Source organism: Homo sapiens, chromosome 16, assembly GCF_000001405.40.
Source record: "Homo sapiens chromosome 16, GRCh38.p14 Primary Assembly".
Lineage (NCBI taxonomy): Eukaryota > Metazoa > Chordata > Mammalia > Primates > Hominidae > Homo > Homo sapiens.
Window position 1 is genome coordinate 30,334,348 of NC_000016.10, and position 12,748 is coordinate 30,347,095.

The 12,748-nt window shown below is 52.3% G+C and overlaps 2 pseudogenes across 1 annotated transcript in view, besides 3 other annotated features; one reads left to right on the forward strand and one right to left on the reverse strand.

Moving 5' to 3' along the window:
* SMG1P5 (SMG1 pseudogene 5) overlaps nucleotides 1-1,027 on the reverse strand; it is a 50,357-nt pseudogene extending 49,330 nt beyond the window's left edge. Inside the window, exon 1 of the transcript NR_002453.5 lies at nucleotides 628-1,027. The product of NR_002453.5 is annotated as an SMG1 pseudogene 5 (transcript). The remainder of the gene's footprint in view (nucleotides 1-627) is intronic.
* Nucleotides 435-1,254: a silencer, noted in NCBI's record as "silent region_7362". NCBI's record gives its function as "represses an Ori minimal core promoter by ATAC-STARR-seq in GM12878 lymphoblastoid cells {active_cell/tissue: GM12878}" and the evidence as "EXISTENCE:reporter gene assay evidence [ECO:0000049][PMID:35858748]".
* Nucleotides 1,485-1,584: an enhancer, noted in NCBI's record as "active region_10696". NCBI's record gives its function as "activates an Ori minimal core promoter by ATAC-STARR-seq in GM12878 lymphoblastoid cells {active_cell/tissue: GM12878}" and the evidence as "EXISTENCE:reporter gene assay evidence [ECO:0000049][PMID:35858748]".
* Nucleotides 1,974-8,996, forward strand: LOC100421031 (carbonic anhydrase 5A pseudogene; annotated as a pseudogene).
* Nucleotides 8,315-8,816: an enhancer, noted in NCBI's record as "H3K4me1 hESC enhancer chr16:30353983-30354484 (GRCh37/hg19 assembly coordinates)". NCBI's record gives its function as "activates a minimal SCP1, AML or CMV promoter by ChIP-STARR-seq in naive H9 embryonic stem cells {active_cell/tissue: H9 hESC(naive)}" and the evidence as "EXISTENCE:reporter gene assay evidence [ECO:0000049][PMID:30033119]".

Consider the following 12,748-nt stretch of genomic DNA (forward strand, 5'->3'; position numbering starts at 1 on the left):
CACCAGAGTAACCGGCCTTGCACTTAGGGAAAACTTCCATCGCCCAAGACCAGAGTGGGTCGATCCCATCAACAGTCACACAATCTCATCTCATGCTCCACTAATGAATGTTCTGCCTAAAGTCAGAGCAATGCCTTGGCTGGAGTTTTGTTTTGGTTTTTTCAATATTAACATGTGGGGGTCACAGAAAGGAACAGAGGCTACAAGAGCTCTCACGTGGCGGCTGAAAGACTGGGGAACCGAGAAAGTGAATGAGTAACAGGGAGGGTCCTGGACTCTCAGGATCTCCCAACTCGGGGTCAGGGGGAGGCGGTAAGTGGAATGCCCCCCCCACCACCCCCGCCTCTTTCTCACCTCCTGGTCCCGACCCTAGGTCAGTGCCACCGCCGGGAGCCCCGGGGCTCGGCTTCAGCCCCGGGCTGAACAAGCAGGGAGGGGAGAGGCACTTAGGCCTCGCCTCCCCGCGGCCTTCCTCCCCTAGCCGGGGAGGAGGAGACCCAGGAAGCCGCGCCCGGCTCCGGTGGGTGGAGGGCCTAGGCCGCGCCTCCCAGCCCCGCGGCCCTAGGCCTCGGCCCGCCCGAGGCGGAGCCCGGGAGGTCGGGGCGGGGTCCCGGGCCGGTCACCCACCTGGGTTGCCAGTCATTCCAGCTCCGCGAATAGTTGGTGCCGCCGCTGCTCAGCCGAGACCCCGGGGCTCTGCGGCTCATTACCTTCCCCGACACGACATGGCCAAGCGCCGCCGCCCGAACCGGCCGCCGCCGACACCCCGCTCCGGCCCGGGGCTGAGGAGGAAGCCGAGAAGGAGGAGGAGGAGGCGGCGGCGGAGGGCGGGGGAAGAGGACGGCCGTTCCGGGTTCCGCCTGAGCCCGCAGGGCAGGACGAGGGAGCGGCGCGGTGAGAGAGGCGGATGAAGGCGAGGCGACGTCTCTTCCAGGGCCGTGCGCGGCCCACGACGCTGGGGCCCCGGAGGACGAGGAGGACGAGGAGCAGGCGGTGGCGGCAGCTCCTCACGCTCACACGGCCACTGCTTCCCCGCCTCCCGGCTCCGCCCGCCGCGCCGCCGCTGTCGTACGGCAAGCTGGGAGCGAGAGGCGGGGTCGGCCCCGCCGGGCCTGGGGAGAGAGGCGGGTCCTGTCGGCGGGGCGGGGCCGATAGCAGGCAGCCCCGCCCCCCACGGCCCCAGGCTCTTGGACGGCGAAGCTGGGCATGGTGGTGGGCAACTGTAATCCCAGCTACTCAGGAGGCTGAGGCAGGAGAATTGCTTGAACCTGGGAGGCAGAGGTTGCAGTGAGCTGAGATCACGCCATTGCACTCTAGCCCAGGCAACAGAAGTGAAACTCTGCCTAAAAAAAAAAGAAAAGAAAAGAAAGAAAGAAAGGTGGCCCCGTTAATGTTTATGCCAAGACAGCCGGCATGACCTGGAAGTGTCCCAAGCCACAGGGCATCTTGTTTCCGGGGAGGATGAATGAATCAAATCGCACCTATTTTGAGGCAAGCAAGGACTCTGTGACTTCAGGAGCCCTGGTGGGTGGACAGAAGCTCCCTGCTCCCCCAGCCTGTCTACCCAGCAGCGCTTTGGCCAGTCCCATTCCTGTACTTCTGAGCCTGCCTGTCAGTCCCTCCTCACACGCACACCGTGGCTTTGTGCCTGGTACTGAGTGTCCCGGAGCCCCAAACCACAGGGTCAACCCCATGAAAGAAACCGGGACTCTGCTCTCATCCACTCGCCCCCACCCCCCGCGTAATCCCCTGGTGCTCACACAGCCCCACCGTAAAGTTTTTGTAGCTCCCTGGCAGACTTGTGCTCCTGTTTGCCAGATCAAAGCCCAGTGACCTGAGCGGCCTGTCCCCAGCAGAGGCCACTAGTCCCTGTGGACCCACCCCATTGGGAAAGGCATGGGTTGAACTTTAACCATTAGGCTCAGGGATTGGGATGAGTTTCTACAAAAAGAGGTGGGTACACGCCAGTCCACAGTGGTCCTGATCAAAGTGAGAACAGACAGCAGGGAACATCACCCTCTTCAGATTGGAGTCAGTGGGAACAGACCTAAGATGTTGGGGAAGAACACTTGGAAGACCTCAGCTTTCTCCTGGGTTGAGCAGATGTGGGCCCCTCTCTGGAGTCGTTCGATGAGGCCAGGGTGATGGTGTTCTCAGCGTTCCTGTGCGCGGCGAACCAGCAGTAACACTTGTAAGTAGAGCCTCAAATTTCCCAAATGCAACTGGATCCTTGTCTTAGCTGATGGGGTCTTTCAAGATGAGAGAGTAGAGACCATCCCGAGCCACACGGGTTCAGATTTCCACTCTGTTTCTATTTTTTTTTTTTTTTTAAGATGGAGTCTCGCTCTATGGCCCAGGCTGGAGTACAGTGGCGCGATCTCAGCGGCTCACCACAACCTCCACCTCCCGGGTTCAAGCGATTCTCCTGCCTCAGCTTCCTGACTAGCTGGGACTACAGACGCATGCCACCACTCCTGGCTAATTTTTTGTATTTTTAGTAGAGACAGGGTTTCACCACGTTAGCCAGGCTGGTCTCGAACTCCTGACCTCGCGATCCGCCCGTCTCAGCCTCCCAAAGTGCTGGGATTACAGGCGTCAGCCACCACGCCCGGCCCTCTTTTTTTCTTTTTTTGATGAAGTTTTGCTCTTTTGCCCAGGCTATAGTGCAATGGCATGATCTCGGCTCACTGCAACATCTGCCCCCCAGGTTCAAGTGAATCTCCTGCCTCAGCCTCCAAAGTAACTGGGACTACAGGCACCCACCACCGCACCCGGCTAATTTTTTGTATTTTGGTAGAGATGGGGTTTCACCATGTTGGCCAGGCTGGTCTCGAACTCCTGACCTCAGGTGATCCACACACCTCAGCCTCCCAAAGTGCTAGGATTACAGGCATGAGCCACCGTGCCTGGCCACACTCCTTTTCTCTTGTATTTGGTGACCTTGGGTGAATCGTTTAGCCTCCGTTTCAGGGGTCCTGGGGAGGGCAAGATGCCGGGAGCAGGCGGGTAGTCCGTGTTCGCACAGGACACACTGGCATGACTCACCATCCAGACCCGGCGGAATGGCTTGCACTAACCAGTCACGATCGCTCCTAAACTCTTCGGCAAAGAACGCTTCCAAGCAAACCTGTAGCAAATAAACCACTCAGCCAACTCTGCCAAGAAACTGCCCCATGCCAGCCCCTCCTGGCTTCACGGTCAGTGCCTTGTGACCTTGGACGAGGCCCTTCCTCTTTCTGGGTCTCAGGTGCTTCCTCCGTAGAATGAGAGGCTGCTTTGGCAGCTGCCAAGTTCTCTTCTAACTCAAATCTTCCACGCGTTCCATGTTTGGGCCATTGAAAGAGCATGGGCTTAGGAGCCAGACCCCAGGCATGCGGTGCTACTGACGCTTGCTGAGGTGGAGCTTCGGCAGGTCTTCACCCCCAAACCTCTGTGTCCTCATCTCGAGATGGGGGTGGCCAGACTTTCTCTCCAGGGCCATGGAAGGATGACATGATGCATGTAGAAAGCCTGGCCCACCCCAAACTGTCGGTGAGCTCCACTCATTCCTTCTGTTGGGGTCCACACCTGTGGACTGGAGTGCAGTGGTGCGATCTCGGCTCACTGCAGCCTCTGCCTCCTGGGTTCAAGCGATCCTCTTGACTCAGCCTCCCAAGTAGCTGGGACTACAGGCGTGTGCCACCACGCCCAACTAATTTCTGTATTTTTAGTAGAGATTGGATTTCGCCATGTTGGCCAGGCTGGTCTCAAACTCCCGACCTCAAGTGGTCTACCTGCCTCGGCCTCCTAAAGTGCTGGGATTACAGGCATGAGTCACCTCACCCACCTCCCTTTTTTATTCTTAGTACAACCGTTAAGAGCGCTAGCCTGCCTAGGTGGAATCTTGGCCCCACTGCTCTATGGCTGTTGCCCCTCTGTGACTTTCCTTTATTTTTTGAGACTAATTTCTGTCTTGTTGCCCAGGCTGGAGTGCAGTGGTGCGATCTCCAGCTCACCGCAACCTCCACCTCCCAGGTTCAAGCAATTTTCCTGCCTCAGCCTCCCGAGTAGCTGGAATTACAGGCATGCGCCACCACATCCGGCTAATTTTATATTTTTAGTAGATACAGGGTTTCTCCATGTTGCTCAGGGTGGTCTTGAACTCCCAGCCTCAGGTGATCTGCCCACCTCGGCCTCCCAAAGTGCTGGGATTGCAGGCGTGAGCCACTGCGCCCGGCTGTCCCCTCTGTGACTTTCTTAACTTCCCCCAGCCTTAGTTTTGTCGTCTGTAACAGGGGGTTGATAATGGTGCTTACTGCGCAGTGTCGTTGGGAGAAGGGTCCGAGGTGGGGCCTGCAAAGGCTGGGGACAGCACATGGCTCCAGGAAGCCCTTGCTAGACGCCAGCTGCTGCTGTTGCTAACACAGGCAGCGGTGGGTGCCCTGTGTCTATTTAAGCATTTCCCTGTCAGTGGGCAGCAGGTAGCATTCCATTTCTTACTATGGCAACATGTCCTCTTACATCTTGTGCTAGAGAGAGTCATATTCTGTATCGGCACCTAAATCCATTTACACCATGGTCCTCAATCTGTTCCCAGTGAACAGAGGGCTCTGCCAAATCATTTCAGAGTTCCACAAAGAACAGAATATTCTGCCAAGCAGAGAAGATTGGAACATCGTAAGGAATTCATCCTTCTATGTCGGTGTTTTATTTATGGGCATTCTGAAGATTATTTCATTTGGGAAAAGAATATTGTTACTAAAAATTATTGAAAAATCACTGGTGGTTTGGCCTTGAGAGAAAAGTCAAAGAGTTACAAAACGTTCAGTGATAATTTCAGAACCAGGCATGGTGGCTCATGCCTATAATCCCAGCACTATTTTGGGAGGCTGATGTGGGAGGACAGATCAAGCCCAGGAGTTCAAGATCAGCCTGGGCAACATAGCAAGAACGCATCTCTAAAAAAAAAAAAAATTAAAAAATTAACTGGACATGGTGGCACACACCTATCATCCCAGCTACTTGGGAGGCTGAGGCAGGAGGATCGCTGACCCCAGGAATTTGAGGCTGCAGTGAGTCCTGCTCAGGCCACTGCACTCCAGCCTTGGCTACACAGCAAGACTCTGTCTAAGAAAAAAAAATAATAATAATTTTAGGGATCATTTAATCATGTTTTCTAGTCATGTTTCAGTGCGTTTTTTAATCATGTTTCAGGGCATGCACTGGCAGTGCCCATCTGTTCCTAAGTGTGTGATCAGCAACATTACGTTGGTAACTTAAAATTGGCCATGGTGAAAGTGTTTACACCACAGTCATTGGCAAACCCTAGAAATTGAAGATTCTAAATTCCTGGGAGAACGGCTTATTAAACCTCAACCAGCACACCGCTGCACGTTGTTGGACATTTTACTGGCTATTCCTGCTCAGGTGTGTGTAAGTCTTCTTGCGTTTGGCTCCCCCCGGGCTGAGCGTGGCTGGGCTGGGCTCCCCACTCTGGGTGGGTCCAGGCCTGCTCACTGCATCTCTCATCCTCCCTCTGCAGCCACCTGAGGCCTGTTCTTCTCACGGCGGAGGGCAGGCACTCACAGGGTGAGGCCAGCGGTGCCCATGTATTCCAAGCTACTGCTCACGTCATGTCTGCTAATGTCCCAGTGGTCAAAGCAGGTCACCAGGTGGCCAAGCCTAGTGACAATGGGGGAGGGGATAGCTCCTCCCATGGAGGTCAAGGGGGAAGGAATTTGAGATTTGCTGAACCACCATCAAACCTGGAGACTGAGAATGCATTGGGGAGAGGGGGTCTCCTTCCAGACTGTGCCCATGTGAATTAGGGGCAAATACTGGCCTCCTGGGGCAGGGGACTTGGCGTCTTTGATTCCATGCCCCTGCACCTGGGCCAGGGCTTGACCCATAGGAGCAGCTCTGTAAATATTTGTTGACTGATTAAAAAAGAGGATAATGGCCGGGCGCGGTGGCTCATGCCTGTAATCCCAGCACTCTGGGAGGCCAAGGCGGGCAGATCACGAGGTCAGGAGATCGAGACCATCCTGGCTAACACGGTGAAACCCCGTCTCTACTAAAAATACAAAAAATTAGCCGGGCGTGGTAGCGGGCGCCTGTAGTCCCAGCTACTCGGGAGGCTGAGGCAGGAGAATGGCATGAACCTGGGAGGCGGAGCTTGCAGTGAGCCGAGATCGTGCCACTGCACTCCAGCCTGGGCGACAGAGCGAGACTCCGTCTCAAAAAAAAAAAAAAAAAAAAAAAAAAAAGAGGATAACATTTGTATTACCTCCCATCGGAGCCCTACTGGAATTAGCACAGAACCCACGTTGCTGTGCACCAGGGTCGGCTGTGTGGAGATTGGAAGCCTATTCAGCATCCAGGTGGCGTCGCCTCCGTGCAGGTGGCAATGAGCCCATCCTTTTGTTGAGTGACACACGCTGAGTTCAACGCGGGTGTTTCATTGTTGGTGGGCCTGTTGGTGCAGCTCAGCAAGCAGAACCTAAAATTACCCGCTCTTCCCACATCCTGTGTCTCTGTGAGCCAGGGAAGCCTGCGTCTCCTGTCTAGATGAGCGCCTCCTCTGTGGCATCAGTGGCTTCTGGGTTCTGTCTACATTCAGGTCTGTGCGGCCATGTTAAATGCCCCTCCCACGGCCACTGCCTCTGGTCCCAACAGGAAAAGGAAGAGGCTGCTCTATGGTCAGGCGCGGTGGCTCACTCCTGCAATCCCAGAACTTTGGGAGGCCAAGGCGGGTGGATCACAAGGTCAGGAGATGGAGACCATCCTGGCTAACACGGTGAAACCCCGTCTCTATGAAAAATACACAAAAGTAGCCAGGTGTGGCGGCGCGCGCCTGTAATAGAGCTACTCAGGAGGCTGAGGCAGTAGAATCACTTGAACCTGGGAGGCAGAGGTTGCAGTGAGCTGAGATGGCACCACTGCACTGCAGCCTGGGTGACCGAGCGAGACTCCGTCTCAAAAAAAAAAAAGAAAAAAAAGAAAATAATCCAGATGAGAATACAGAGAAAGAACAGCAACTTCATCACAGCTTTGTTTAATTGCAAGAAGTTGGAAATAACCTAAATATCATCACCAAATAATGGATTTTAAAAATTGTGTCATAACTGTACAATGGAAATGTACCACCATTAAAAAGAATTGTGTATATATATATATTTTTGACAAAATGAGTTCACAATGTTAAATGAAAAAAGGCAACTTACAGGATAATATACACAGTAAAATCCTTGTTCATTAAAATAAAAAATCCTGGCCGGGTTTGGTGGTACACACCTCTAATCTCACACTTTGGGAGACGCCTGCCTCACTTTGGGACAGGCAGGAGAATCGCTTGAGGCCAGGAGTTTGAGACCAGCCTGGGCAACATAGTGAGACCTCGTCTCTACAAAAAATGAAAAAGTTAGCCAGGCACGGTGGTGTTTATCTGTAGTCCAGCTGCTCAGGAGGCTGAGGTGGGAGGATTGCTTCAGCCTAGGGGTTCAAGGCTGCAGTGATTGGCACCACTGCACTCCAGCCTGGGTGGCACAGTGAGACCTGATCTCAAAAAAGCACTATTCCATTTAATCCCTTTTAAGAACTGGTTTAGCTCAGGCCTGTTAAGGTGAGGACAGGAGCCACAGGGCACGCCAGGCCTCTGGGGTGATATCCCCAAGCAAGGGGACTCTGTATTTGGAAGCTGCTCTAAGGTTTCGAGAGCAGGATATCCCAAGGATCCTGTCTCTTAAGGAAAAATAAAAATAAAAGATCCAGCTTTCTCTTCGCATGAGGTTATTGCACAGAGAACAGTTGGGCAGACACACACCAGGGGGTGCAATCATGGGACAGCTGCTTCTTCACTCATAAGTTTTTCTGCATTTTTTTTTTTTTTTTTTTTTTTGAGGCAGAGTCTCTGTCACCCAGGCTGGAGTACAGTGGCGCGATCTTGGCTCACTATCACCTCTGCCTCCTGGGTTCAAGCCATTCTCCTGCCTCAGCCTCCCGAATAGCTGGGATTACAGGCGCCCGCCACCACACCCAGCTGATTTTTACATTTTCAGTAAAGATGGGGTTTTGCCATGTTGGTCAGGCTGGTCTCAAACTCCTGACCTCAGGCGATCTGCCCACCTTGCTTCCGAAAGTGCTGGGATTACAGGCGTGAGCCACTGTTTCTGACCTCTGAACTGTTTTTGATTAATGGCTCTTAACTTTAAAAATGACAATCAAAGCAGTTTGAAATGAGCCTCGAGGAAGTGGGTAAAGGGGCTGCCACTCTGCTTAATTTTCTCCACACTGGGGTCTCATTTCCTCCTTGCCAGAGGGCTTGGAGAGTGAGACTTCCAAAGCAGCTCCAGTTTCCACAGGACCCACTAGGTGGGATACCTGTGAGTGGGAAGGGAGGTTTCAAGCCCTTCCCGAGAGACAAGAGCCCCACTGCACTCAGCCTGCCTTCCCCACAGGGCCCTCCTCCGCCCACCTGCCCTCCCCAAGGTCTCTCCAGACTTCCTGTGACCACTCTGTGACAAGGGCAACACAAAAGTCAAAAACCCATCAACACAGGCGGCACGGGCCGAGAGGGAGTTGCTTCTGGGTGGGAAAGAAAGTCCCCGAGTGGTGCGGAAAGGAGAGGAGCAGGCGAGTACCCTGTGGACGCGCGTCCAGCTGCGCAGGGGCCCCCACGCACCCGTTTCCCGTGGGTCTGTTTCCCATGAGCCAGTACCTGTGGGGTCTCGTGCGGCCAGGTTTCTGCCCTATCCGTCCAAGACACAGGATGAAGCTCATGCCTCACTCGGGGTCTCCTTCTCTCTCCCTGCAGTGCACCCACTCTGGACGGGCCCGGTCTCCGTGCCAGGGGGCACCCGGCAGTCTCCTATCAACATCCAGTGGAGGGACAGCGTCTATGACCCCTGGCTGAAGCCACTCAGGGTCTCCTATGACGTGGCATCCTGCCTGTACATCTGGAACACTGGCTACCTCTTCCAGGTGGAATTTGACGATGCCACCAAGGCATCAGGTGAGTGCCAGCTGGGGCTCGAGGACTTTCTCCTCTCCGCTCCCTGTTCTGGGAGCAGGGTCAGGGGCTTCGCGGAGAAGGCGGAGGAGAGCTGGAAGGTGCTGCTTTCCTTGTGCTGCTGGCGCGCCACTGCACTTCAGCCTGGGAGACAGAGCGAGACTCCGTCTCAAAAAAAAAAAAAAAAAAAAGAAGAAATAGAAAACTTGAATAGGCCGGGCACAGGGGCTCACACCTGTAATCCCGGCACTTTGTGGTTTTTTTTTTTTTCTCTCTCTCTTTTTGTTTTGTTTTGTTTGAGATGGAGTTTCGCTCTTGTTACCCAGGCTGAAGTACAATTGTGCAATCTCGGCTCACTGCAGCCTCTGCCTCCCAGGTTCAAGCGATTTTCTTGCCTCAGCCTCCCAAGTAGTGGGGATTGCAGGCGCCCACCGCCGCGCCTGGCTAATTTTTTGTATTTTTAGTAGAGACAGGGTTTCACCATGTTGGACAGGCTGGTCTTGAACTCCTGACCTCAGGTGAACCATCCACCTCGGCCTCCCAAAGTGCTAATCCCAGGAGGCCGAGGCAGGTGGATCACATGAGGCCAGCAGTAGTGCAAGACCAACCTGGAAAACAGGACAAGACCCCGTCTCTAGTAAAATTATAAAAATTAGCTGGGTGTGGTGATGTGCGCCTGTAGTCCCAGCTACTGGGTGTGGAGGCTGCAGTGAGCCAAGTTCACACCGGTGCACTCCAGCCTGGGCAACAGAGTGAAATTCTGTCTCAAAAAAAAAAAAAAAAAAGAGAAAAGAAAAGAAAACTTGAATAGCCTTAAATATAATTAATAAGGCTGGGTGCGGTGGCTCACACCTGTAATCCCAGCACTTTGGGAGGCCAAGGCGGGCAGATCACGAGGTCAGGAGTTTCAGACCAGCCTGACCAACATGATGAAACCCCATCTCTACTAAAAATACAAAAATTAGCCAGGCATGGTGTCCGGCACCTGTAATCCCAGCTACTCAGGAGGCTGAGGCGGGAGAATCCCTTGAATCTGGGAGGCGGAGGTTGCAGTAAGCCAAGATCGCCCATTGCACACCAGCCTGGGCAACAAGAGCAAAACTCTGTCTCAAAAAACAAAAAACAAACAAAACAAAACAAGACAAAACACTTTCCTACAAGATTAATTTGAGGTCGGTGCCTAAAGTAAAAGCTTTATCTTTGGAACTAGCACAGCTCTCTAGGCATCAAGAGCAAGGTTTTTCTTTTTCACTCCCAGAAGTGCTCTTTTTAATTTTTTTTTTTTTTTGAAACAGTCTCGCTCTGTTGCCCAGGCTGGAGTGCAGTGACCCAATCTCGACTCACTGCAACCTCTGCCTCCCGGGTTCAAGTGATTCTCCTGTCTCAGCCTCCCCAGTAGCTGGGATTACAGGCATAAGCCACCATACCCAGCTAAGTTTTGTATTTTTAGTAAAGACAGGGTTTCACCATGTTGTTCAGGCTGGTCTCGAACTCCTGACCTCAGGTGATCTGCCCATCTAGGCCTCCCAAAGTGTTGGGATTACAGGCGTGAGCCACCGTGCTTGGCTCTTTTTTTAATTTTTAAAATGCATTTTATTTTGTTTTGTTTTATTTTATTTTATTTATTTAGAGACAAAGTCTTGGTCTGTCACCCAGAATGGAGTGCAGTGGCACAATCATAGCTCACTGCAGCCTCAAACTCCTAGGGTCAAGGGATCCTCCTGCCTCAGCCTCTGGAGTAGCTGGAACTACAGGCTCGAGCCACCATGCCTGGCTAATTTTTTAAATTTTCGTAGAGACAGGGTCTTGCTATGTTGCCTAGGCTGGTCTCCAACTCCTGGACTCAACTGAGCCTCCTGCCTCACCCTCCCAAAATGCTGGAATTACAGGCATGAGCCACTATACCTGGCTCAAAGATTTCTTAAATAGGACACAAAAAGCACAAATGATTTTTTAATCAACAAATTAAGCCAGGTGCGGCGACTCACGCCTGTAATCCCAGCACTTTGGGAGACTGAAGCGGGCCAATCACTTGAGGTCAGGAGTTCGAGACCAGCCTGGCCAACATGGTGGTCTACTAAAAATACAAAAATTAGCTGGGTGTGGCAGCCTGTAGTCCCAGCTACTCAGGAGGCTGAGGCACAAGAATTCCTTGAACCCAGATGGCAGAGGTTGCAGTGAGCCGAGATTGCGCCACTGCACTCCAGCCTAGACCACATAGTGGGACTCTGTCTCAAAAAAAAAAAAAAAAAAAAAAAAAAATGATCAGCCTGGCCAACATGGTGAAACCCCATCTCCCCCATCTCTACTAAAAATACAAAAATTAGCCAGGCATGGTGGTGTGCGCCTCTAACGCCAGCTACTTGGGAAGCTGAGGCAGGAGAATTGCTTGAACCCAGGAGGCGGAGGTTGCACTGAGGTGAGATTGCACCACTGCACCCCAGCCTAGGAGACAGAGCAAGATTCTGTCTCAAAGAAAAGTCAGCAAATTAAATTTTAACCAGATTTAAAACTTTTGTTCTTCAAGATGATGACAGAAAAAAAAAAAAAGACAAGTCATGGATCAAGAAAATATTCACAAAACAGAATCTGACAAAGGACTCATTATCTGGAATATCTAATGATCAAGGTCTCTTACAAGTCAATCAGAAGACAAACAATTCAGTTTTTAAAACAGGCAAAACATATGAGCAAACACTCGACCAAAAATTTTGACAGGACTTTAGAGTCCCACAGACCTCGGTTAAAATCCTGGCTTTACCACCCTCAGGCTATGTGATGTTGAATGTCACCTCTCTGAGCCTCATTTTTCTCATCAGCAAAGTGGGAGAGATACGTAACTAAATAGGTAGTCAAGGAGATTAAACATAATATTCTGAACTTATTTAGGTCCCTAATAAATGCCAGACACCCTCTTCTTCCCCTGTCAAATAGAGGATGTATATATGTATACATACAAATATATATATATATATACACTTTTTGTGTGTGTAGAGATGGAGTCTGGCTATATTGCCCAGCTGGTCTCAAACTCCTTGGCTCAAGCCATCTGCCCACCTCAGCTGAGATTACATGCCTGGCAGAGAACGGGCTTAGTGTGTAAGCCGGGGAAGGCTGGGCCAGGTAAGAGGTCTCAATGTCTGAGGCCAGAGGGCAAATGCCCACATTGTATCCAAAGGAATGTGAAGTGTTCAAGACAGAAAAATGTGTCCCAAAGAGTGCACTGGAGCTACAAGGTCTGAAGCCACCAAGAGCTGCAAGGCAGCTGTATGGGGAGGGAATAGGGATGGGTGGGGTATCAGGAAAGTAAGAGCAAGTACGATGGCATCAGAATGGAGAAACTGGGCTGGGCACGGCAGCTCATGCCTGTAATCCCAACACTTTGGGAGACCCAGGCAGGAGGATCATTTGAGGCCAGGAGTTTGAGATCAGCCTGGTCAACATAGTGAGACCCCACGTCTATAAAAAATAAAAATAAAGGGGCTGAAGTGGGAGGATCACTTGAGCTCAGGAGGTCCAGCCTGCAGTGAGCTATGATCGCACCACTGCACTCCAGCCTGGGCGACACAGCAAGACGCTGTCTCTAAAACTAAATGGCAGAGCGCGGTGGCTCACAACTGTAATCCCAGCACTTTGGGAGGCCAAGGCAGGTGGATCACTTGAGGTCAGGAGCTCAAGACCACCCTGGCCAACATGGCAAAACCCCATCTCTACTAAAACTACAAAAATCTGCTGGGCGTGGTGGCGGGCGCCTGTAATCCC